The sequence below is a fragment of the Homo sapiens genome, chromosome 3, assembly GCF_000001405.40.
Source record: "Homo sapiens chromosome 3, GRCh38.p14 Primary Assembly".
Taxonomy (NCBI): Eukaryota; Metazoa; Chordata; class Mammalia; order Primates; family Hominidae; genus Homo; species Homo sapiens.
In genome coordinates, this window is record NC_000003.12 from 64,260,368 (window position 1) to 64,268,784 (window position 8,417).

General features: G+C 44.0%; 1 protein-coding gene across 1 annotated transcript in view; it reads right to left on the reverse strand.

Moving 5' to 3' along the window:
- The window catches only part of PRICKLE2 (prickle planar cell polarity protein 2), a 175,938-nt gene extending 168,132 nt beyond the window's left edge, over window positions 1-7,806 (reverse strand). The window contains exon 1 of the mRNA NM_001370528.1: window positions 7,532-7,806. The gene's annotated coding sequence lies outside the window, so the exon portion shown is untranslated. The remainder of the gene's footprint in view (window positions 1-7,531) is intronic.

Below are 8,417 nucleotides of genomic sequence, written 5' to 3' on the forward strand. Positions count from 1 at the left end.
GCACTAGATAATCTCCATGGTTCATTCCAAATCTAACATTCTCTAATTCTTTATGTACAACAACAGTTCTTGCCCATGGCAGACACTGCTAATCAATCGCAGCACTATTTCCCTAAGCCCTGAAGGGGCCCCTTTAATTCTTTTTAACCAGAGCTGCAGGCAAATAAAACCTCTGTGCTATTCCTGTCTTAGTAACTCAATGAACAGTCCAAATAAATAAACCATGGCTTATGGGTTTTCAGAAATGCCTGCATTACTCTCCTCTCGTCCGGGGAAGGACATCCTCTTCCCTGCCAATATCTGTTGATGTTTTTTTCCACTTTTAGAATACGCAACCCTTTGCTCTGATTTTTAAATTAGTACTCCACCAATAACATTCAGTGAGAGGTTGTGGCTTTTGGGGCCAGAGAGAAGAGCAAGTCTGGGGCACTAAACATACAGTTCAACCTTTGTTCCCTGGGAAAGATCAGCTCTGACAGATTAAAAAATATATATGTTTACTGCTTTCTGAGTTCCAAAGCCATTTGTGGGAGTTGTAGTAGATCTTAAAAACTTTTGGATCCCAAATCAATTCCCAGGACAGCTGCATCTGATCAGACTTCCTAGGCAGGAGAGTTCAGAAGCTTGGGGTCTTCAGAGAAAACCATTAGCTAGGGTTGCAATTTTTAAAAGGTGATGAGACACTCATGCCTCACTTGTACAGAGTGCTGAAATAATGTCTCACTCCAAGGGGTTTACAGACCTCCACAAGGGGCAACTATAATTGATCTGGTTTACAATTAATACAGAAAAAGAAGGCACAGAAATGTGAAGTGTATGGACTTAGCAGCATTGGGAAGCACATTAATCTCTACAACCCCCAGGAAGTAAGAGGGAGATGAGGAAAGGAGGAGAGTAATAAAAATAACTTAAAAATTTTTAATTTCCTAATAATTTTCTTGCAGTGTTAGACACTGGCCCAGGTATCAGTTAATCAGTCAGTCAAAATTTGTTTAGGGAGCCCTCCTAGAAGGAAGGTACTGTCACTGAAGATGGGATTTAAATGATGCAATCCTTGCCTTTAAGGGACAAGAAGGGACAGGGACAGGCTTGTCATATTGAAAATAAAATATTTTGGATCTTGGAAAGTGCTTTGGAGAAAAGTTGGTAAGATAATGTGGCCAAGAAAAATGTGGGCTGTGGAGTGTAGTCATGGAGCAAGGCTAGGCAGGAAGTTCTCTTGACAGAAGGACATTTAAGCTAAGATCTCAATGGTGAGAAGCTCCTAGCCAGGCAAAGATCTATGGGAAGAGCATTCCAAGCAGAAAGAACAGCAAGCACAAAGGCCCAGAGGTAGGCAGAAACTTGGGCTGGCCTGTGACTGAAGCACGGGTGCCAGTAGCCAGGTAGGAAGATGCCCTTGAGAGGTAGGCACGGGCTAGAACTTGTTAAGGTGGGAGAGTCTCACAGGTCACGGCAAAGTGTTTGGGTTTTGTCCTTATTGCAATGAGAAGCTGTCTGAAGGTGTTAAACAGGGTCATGTTATGATGTGATTTAAGCTTCAGAACCACTAGGTGTTTGGGAAGGTTGTCAAGTAATCAAGGTGAAAAATGATGGCAGCATGGACTAAAGTTGGACCTGTGGAGGTTTGAGATATGTATCTTTTCTATCATATTTTTTACAGAGGTGTGATTTACATACAGCAAAATCCATAGACCTTATATGTAGAGTCTCATCAATTTTGAAAAATGCCTATATCCATGTAACGCACACTCTATCAAGATATCAAACATTTTCAGCACCCCAGGAAGTTACCTCAAGCTCCTTTCTAGTCAGTCCTCCCTCCCTCTCACCCTCACCTGCTACAATTTGGGCTATTTTTTTGAAGTAGAACTGAAAGGACTTATTCCCATTGGATAGGATATGGGGAGAGGGTAAGAGAAAGAGAACAATCAAAGGTGCCAAAAGTTTTTAGCTCAAGCAACTGGGTAGCTGGAGGTGCCATTTGTTGACACAGTCAAGGCTTAAGGAAAGGAAAAAGTTAGCGCTATGTTTTGACACAGCAAGTCTGAGAAGCCGATTGGACATCTAATGAAGATGCTGAGAAGAGATGTGTATCTAAGTCTGGAGCTCAGGAGAGAGGTCCAGGCTGGAGATGTGACTCCACTAGTCAAGAGTCCAGTGTAACAAGAAGCCATGGGCTGGATGGCGTCAACAAGGGAGCAATAAAGATGAAAAAGACATGAGCAAGCAGGAAGGAGGCAGGAGCGGCTGACCTAAAAAAAAAAATTAGAAGAGGAGAAAAGAGCAGCAAAGGAAATTGGGAGGTAGGAGGAAGATAAAGTAAGAGGGAGACAGAAAGTTATAGAAGGAAGCAAGAGGAGGGAATGATCCACTGGGACAAACCCTGCTGACAGGCAGAGGGTGACCTTGACATCTCTTAACATATTTAACCCTCCCTAAAACTCCATAGGGTAGGTGTCCCAATTATTTCCATTTTGCAGACAAGGAAACTGAGGTTCAGAGATGTAAATGACTTGTCCCATTGCTAATAAGTGGTGGAGCCACCGTTTTGAAGTTTAACAGCTTCCCCCAAGTGTGTTCTGTGGCACATTAAGAGGTGAGGCTGAAAGGGGGTTCCAGGGTCACATTAGCACAGAACATGCAACATCAAGCCTCAATGGGTTTCTCTACTCCAGGCCTTCTCATAGCCTTTGAATTGTGATGGCTCAAGAGGGAGATGTAAAACATCGTATGTTCCACGCACACATGGCGCCTTTTTTTGTTTTCTTTTTTAGAAGAGCAATTCACCAAACAGGTATTCCCAATATCACAGTAAGAGAACCACTGCTAGAAGGCAACATGAGTAAGTTTTCAAAATGTGTTTAAACAAAGTCCAAAGTGCCTTCTTGGACATTACATCACTTGTACCCGAAGGAGAAAGGGTCGACATGAACATACCATTTTACAGATAATGAAGCTGAAGCTCATGAGGTTAAGTGGTCTGTCCTGTATCCACAATTCTGCAGCAATTAAGCAAGAAAAATCATTCCTGGTCCATGTGCCCCAAAGACTAGGAGAAATCAGGTCAGGCCAAGGGAGAATCAGGCAAGAAGCTTAAATGAGGCTTTGTTCAGTCTCTGCCTCTCCTCTTTACAATATTCCCTTTGAGTTCACTTTCCACAGGATTACACTCAGAATGGGGGGATATACAGAGAATGCAGGAAGGGCTGCAAGTGAGCTCAGGCCTTGAGCATTAGGAAATGGCTTCAACTTTCTGGGGCTGTGTAGGGTGAGGTCTTGTGAAAGGATCCTGTGGGAGGCATTATGGATTGGAGGCAAGAAAGTGGCACCTACATCCAGGTAGAAAGGGCCCTTGATGGAAACATAACTGTCTTAAGAATTCCAAAAGCTGCAGGAATTAAAAGCACTTCACAGTCAATCAGCCTTATCTTGGGTCATCTTGGTTCAGAACTTAAAGAACCCAAGGCAAATGAGCTGAACACTCCTCAAGTTGTTGCCACGAGGGCCTCTGCCCCATGTGGTCTCCCTCAATTCCATCACAGTGGATTGTCTAAATGGGGACCTCATGGACTGCTGTCTACAGAATGCCAGCATCCTAGAGAAGCAGGCTTCGGCAGAGTGGCGGCAGGGCAGTGGGAAGGGTGGTTACTGAGTATAAATTATAAAGAGAAGACCGCCCACCCCACCCCCCACTCCACAACCCGCCAACAATCCACCAAGAGCAAATGCTTGAGAGCACAGGCTGCATTTAAGAAGCATCCCAGGTAGATGCTTGGAATTAGACAGTTGTAGGTCCAGGTCCCCCGCATGGCCACTTGGTAGCCTTGTGTCTCAGGGGAGTTACCAAACCTCTTTGAGCTTATCCTTCATCATCTGTGAAATAGGCTGGCTGATGGCACCAACCCTCATAGGGTTGTCGTAAGGGTTTTTCAGTAATAAAGAGCAAACAGCGACGTGCTTCTCAAGATAAAGTCCAGAGTTCCACCTGGATATTTCTTAAATGCAGATTTCCAGGTCATACTACAGACCTATGAAATAGACTCCCTGAAGGATATCCCTATGCACTATAAAGTCTGAGAAAGACTGGTAAGACGTTAAGTCTGTGCTTGGCAAAAGCTCAGTAAGTTAACAGGCATCATTCTGTTTACTGATGTTATCATTTATAATATGGCAAGATGAGACCTCTTCTCCAGCCTGGACAACTTAGTGTTCAAAATTAGAATTTATCTAACATCCAACTCAACAGATGTTTGCTTATCCCCAGAAGCCTGAACAGAGCCTCAATCATCAGAAAATATAAAACAAAACCAGTGACTAATTACAGCAGCCTGGGTGAATGCAGAGTAACCTTTTGCAAATGTTCCCAAGAGATCAAATAGTAGCTGTTTTAAAGAAAAAGTAGTAAGAAGCAACCTTTGAAAGATGTGATAAGCAATGTCACGTATACGCTCCCTGTGGATTGGCATCTTGCCTGGGAAGATGCTTTGTGAAGAGGGAGAGACCCTAGTGATAGGTACAAGGATTTCTCTACACAGGCTGGCTGTTAAAAGTCAAATATGAAGCAATTCTCAAAGGCCTCTGGGCTAATCTTGCAGGGAGATCATTCATGAGTTTTCCCAGACATTGAGTCCCACAGTACCTGCGTCTGTTCCCTCCGCTACCCCTACATCTTCCATTCTTCTGGAAGTTGTCCAGATTACAATCTTTGCAAAAATGAGCCTTCCTTTGCTGGTCACACAGAGGAGCAGGATATGAAAAAACATCACCAACAAAACAAAACAAAGCAAAAAGAAAAACAAAAAACAAACAAACAAAAAAAACTGAATGGCAATCAAATGCTAAGTATCCCAGAAAAGAATTCCTCACCATTCAGATTTTGAGAAAATAAAAAATATCAAAGAAACTTTTTTGGAACATCACATTTAAACCTCAATACAATTTCCATAAAGTCTCATTATATTCAACTAGGATTACCATTCTGTGTTTTAGTAGCTAAAAAAAATCATTCCCTCTGCTTCCTCTCATTGACATCAGAATATCGCACAGAGTTTATATTCACCTAGCGCTCTCCTACTTTATGATAGTGATAGGAAGTGCTTAATGTGACTGAGTACTTTTCAGGAAAGATTAAGAAAAACAGCCTGGGGAGCACAGCATCTCTGAGATTTGGTTTTCTAAATTATTTTTAAAAACCCACAGATCTCTGCATACACAGCTACACAAAGCAGCACGCATGTCCCTCAGTTGCCTCTTACCGTCTTTTCATTGCCCATTTTCTATATTGTTGATGTACTTCAGGGCAAACCCAACACAAGACCACTTAGCCTGCTCTGCAAACAGCTCCACAAAGACCATAAATGTCACCACCAAATTGGTGAGTGCTAGTTCAAACCTTTGCACCTCTCATTCCTCGACACATCTGTGTCCCTAAGGATAACAATTCTGGCTTAAAAGAAATCTTGGGAAAAGAAGCCAAGAGTTTTTCCTGTTGAAGCTAAGTGGGAGGAGGCTAGTGGGGAAGTGGGCTCGATAAAACTGTCTCAAAAATAAGTTCCATCTTAAGCTCACAGAGGGAATGAGAGAGTTATTTCAGTTTCTTAAATGGAAGTACAACCCCGAAAATAAAAAATAAAAGGCTTGTTGATGCAGAGGCTTGAAAGCCTGTGTGAGATTGAGGGTATCACTGAGGAAAGACTGCCTTGTAACAGAGCTTTCTTGTATTACACCCAAAGCTGTGTACCATCTGAGGCTGATTCAGGAAAATACTCAAATCTCCTGGTAATTTCCTGCAGACAGGACGTTTAATCATCTCCAAGCCTCCACCGCAAAAGAAAAAAAAAAAAGCTAAACCAAATGATTCACACTCTTAAAACGAATCTGCCTTCAGAAGAAGAACGGTTTTCTGGTCTTGAAAAGCAGCCACAATTTGTTATTCTAACAAAGTGTTCCTTTCCTCCAAACAGAAATAAAAGTTGCTCAAGGAGGGCTTGTCCTGATTTCTGTTCTGCATTTCTTGAAACTTCCATCCAGTCAACAGTTTCTCCTGGCAGGTTCTCAGAAATCCAGAGAGAGCTGGGTAGTCAGTGACTAAGAACACAGGATCATTTTTATATGCCTCCCTAACCCCCACTTTTTGGCCCCATGGGAAGATGCTTTATTGTAGGATGAGCAGAATCAGCTGCATATATAAATTCTTCACTGCCCAGCTCACTTGACACCTTTATCTGAATTGCCCAACAGGCTGGGAAGATTTGGCAATTGATGATTTGAAAAGGAAAGGCCCAGATCTTCCCCAAGTGGTATTTGTTCTGTCTGTACAGACAGGGCCATGTCCATGTCTCTAATTACTCAACTAGCTGCACAGATAAAAACATTTGCGTACAGAAAGCAGGGAACTCAAAGTATACAAATGATTCACACCACCTAAACAACTGCAAATAAAGGCCGGCCCAGCAAAATAAGGGCTTCTAGAAGCCAAAATAATTTAATATGGGCGGAAATGGAATTTGGCAATCCACACATCAGACTCTGCTCCAATTTTGGAAGGCATGTCTTCCAGCTGCCTCATCTTAAAAAAAAAAAAAAGTAAACTGACCCTCTGCATTCGATTCTCAACCTCTTGCTTAGGTACACACAAGTGAACAGATGGGTGGGGGGAGCTGAAACCTCATCTTTTAAATCTTACCCAGCACCTACCCACAATCTTTCCTGATTATTTTGGTTTTAAAATTTCCCAGGGCACGGCTGCCCAGGCACTCCAGATTTGTAATCCCAACCTTCACCAAGTCCTGACTCTTCCAGCATCTGAGAGGGTGCATTTGGCAACTTGGAAAGTAAGAATTAACTCTCTCATCTCCAAACTATACACTCCCCCATGTAGAGCTAGGAAGGGCTAGGAGAAGGGCCCTCTCCACCTACCCCAATTCAGAAAGAACACATTAACAAATCCAGAGTTGCTTCATTACCGAAGTCCACCAAGAAGCAAAGAAATGGATTTTTAAAGTTCTGGGAAAATAAACAACTTTTATCTTTTCGGGGATATAAGCTCAAAATATAAAGGTATGTGGGAAGAAGTAAGTCATGTTTTAAAGTAGATCTTCCTGGAGATGTTAAGAAATATTTTGAATAGAAAATAACTAGGTCATTAACAGTAAATACCTTTTAAATATTTAGGGGAAAATGAATTCTAAGAGAATAAAGGCTATTTAAAAAGCAAGTCCAGGGATGTTTTCATGTTCCCTCTTAAGTAGTCCTAATACAATAATACCACCATCGCCTCGTGATATTATGATTACCATTGCTGGTTAATAAAGTGGCTGCGCGAAAGGTGGCTGACACTCAGACCCTCAGTTCACCAGGTCCCCACCGCGGGGCTCCTGACTTCCCAGCGTCTGGGTGGCAAAGCGCATCTCTCCCAGAGCTTAGTTTCCAGCTGCAAGGCCCCTTTTTCAGGGGAGCTCCTGAAACCAGGAGCAAACATGCCCCTGCGCCGCCCTCTGTGCTCCCCGGCTATGGGGGGGCCACTTACCCGGCTTAGCCTTGCATTGCTCCGACGCTGCGGCGCCTCTGCCGGCCCGGGAAACTGCGGGGGAGCCGGGGAAAGGGGGTTGGAGACCCAGGGGCAGGGGTAGCGGCCGCAGCTAAGGAACCCAGCGGGGCGTCGGCAGCCAACTGCCCGGAGCCGAAGGGGGCCCTGCAGGGGCTCCGCACAAGGCAGGTAACATTCCTGGGGCGGCAGCTGCTCTGTGCGCAGCTCCGGATCCAGGAAAATCGCTCAGGTCCTGGGGAGAGGAGCTCCAAGCTCTCTGGGCTGCCTCCCGGCTGCTTAAAGGGACACCTCCCCACCTCCCACTCAGCTTATTGGTGAAAATCTCGAGCCACAGGCCAATCCTAGGCCTGTTCCCAAATTGAGATTTCAATCAAGGGAGCTACTACTTTAAAATTAGAAAGGGCTAATGGAGTGCTGAGCCACCTTTCAAAAGCAGAAGGACACAGGCTCTCTGGCCCTCACACCAGAGGTCCTGAGAGCTGGCAGTGGCTGGAAGAGAAAGATTCGACTGTGCCACGCACACAAGGAACAGGGGGCATGCTGGAATCCTAGGCTTCACCCCTCCTGTGCCCCCCTCAACCCACTGCTGTCCTTCAAGGCTCATCCAGTTTATCACAGACACTGGAGGCCTTCGTGGCTCTCTGCTCTTGGTGCTCCTAAAGCCTTTGCTTATGTCTCTTTTCAGCCACTCATCACATTTTCACTTTTTTGCTTAATCTGTCACTCCCTTTACACTGTAAATTCTACCTAGGTAGGAATGTTTTTATCAAGACATATCACTCCCTACCTGGAACGTCGTGAGCTCTCAGTAAATGTTTGTTTATTGATTGAATGAATGAATACACAAAAGAATGAACAATGGAAA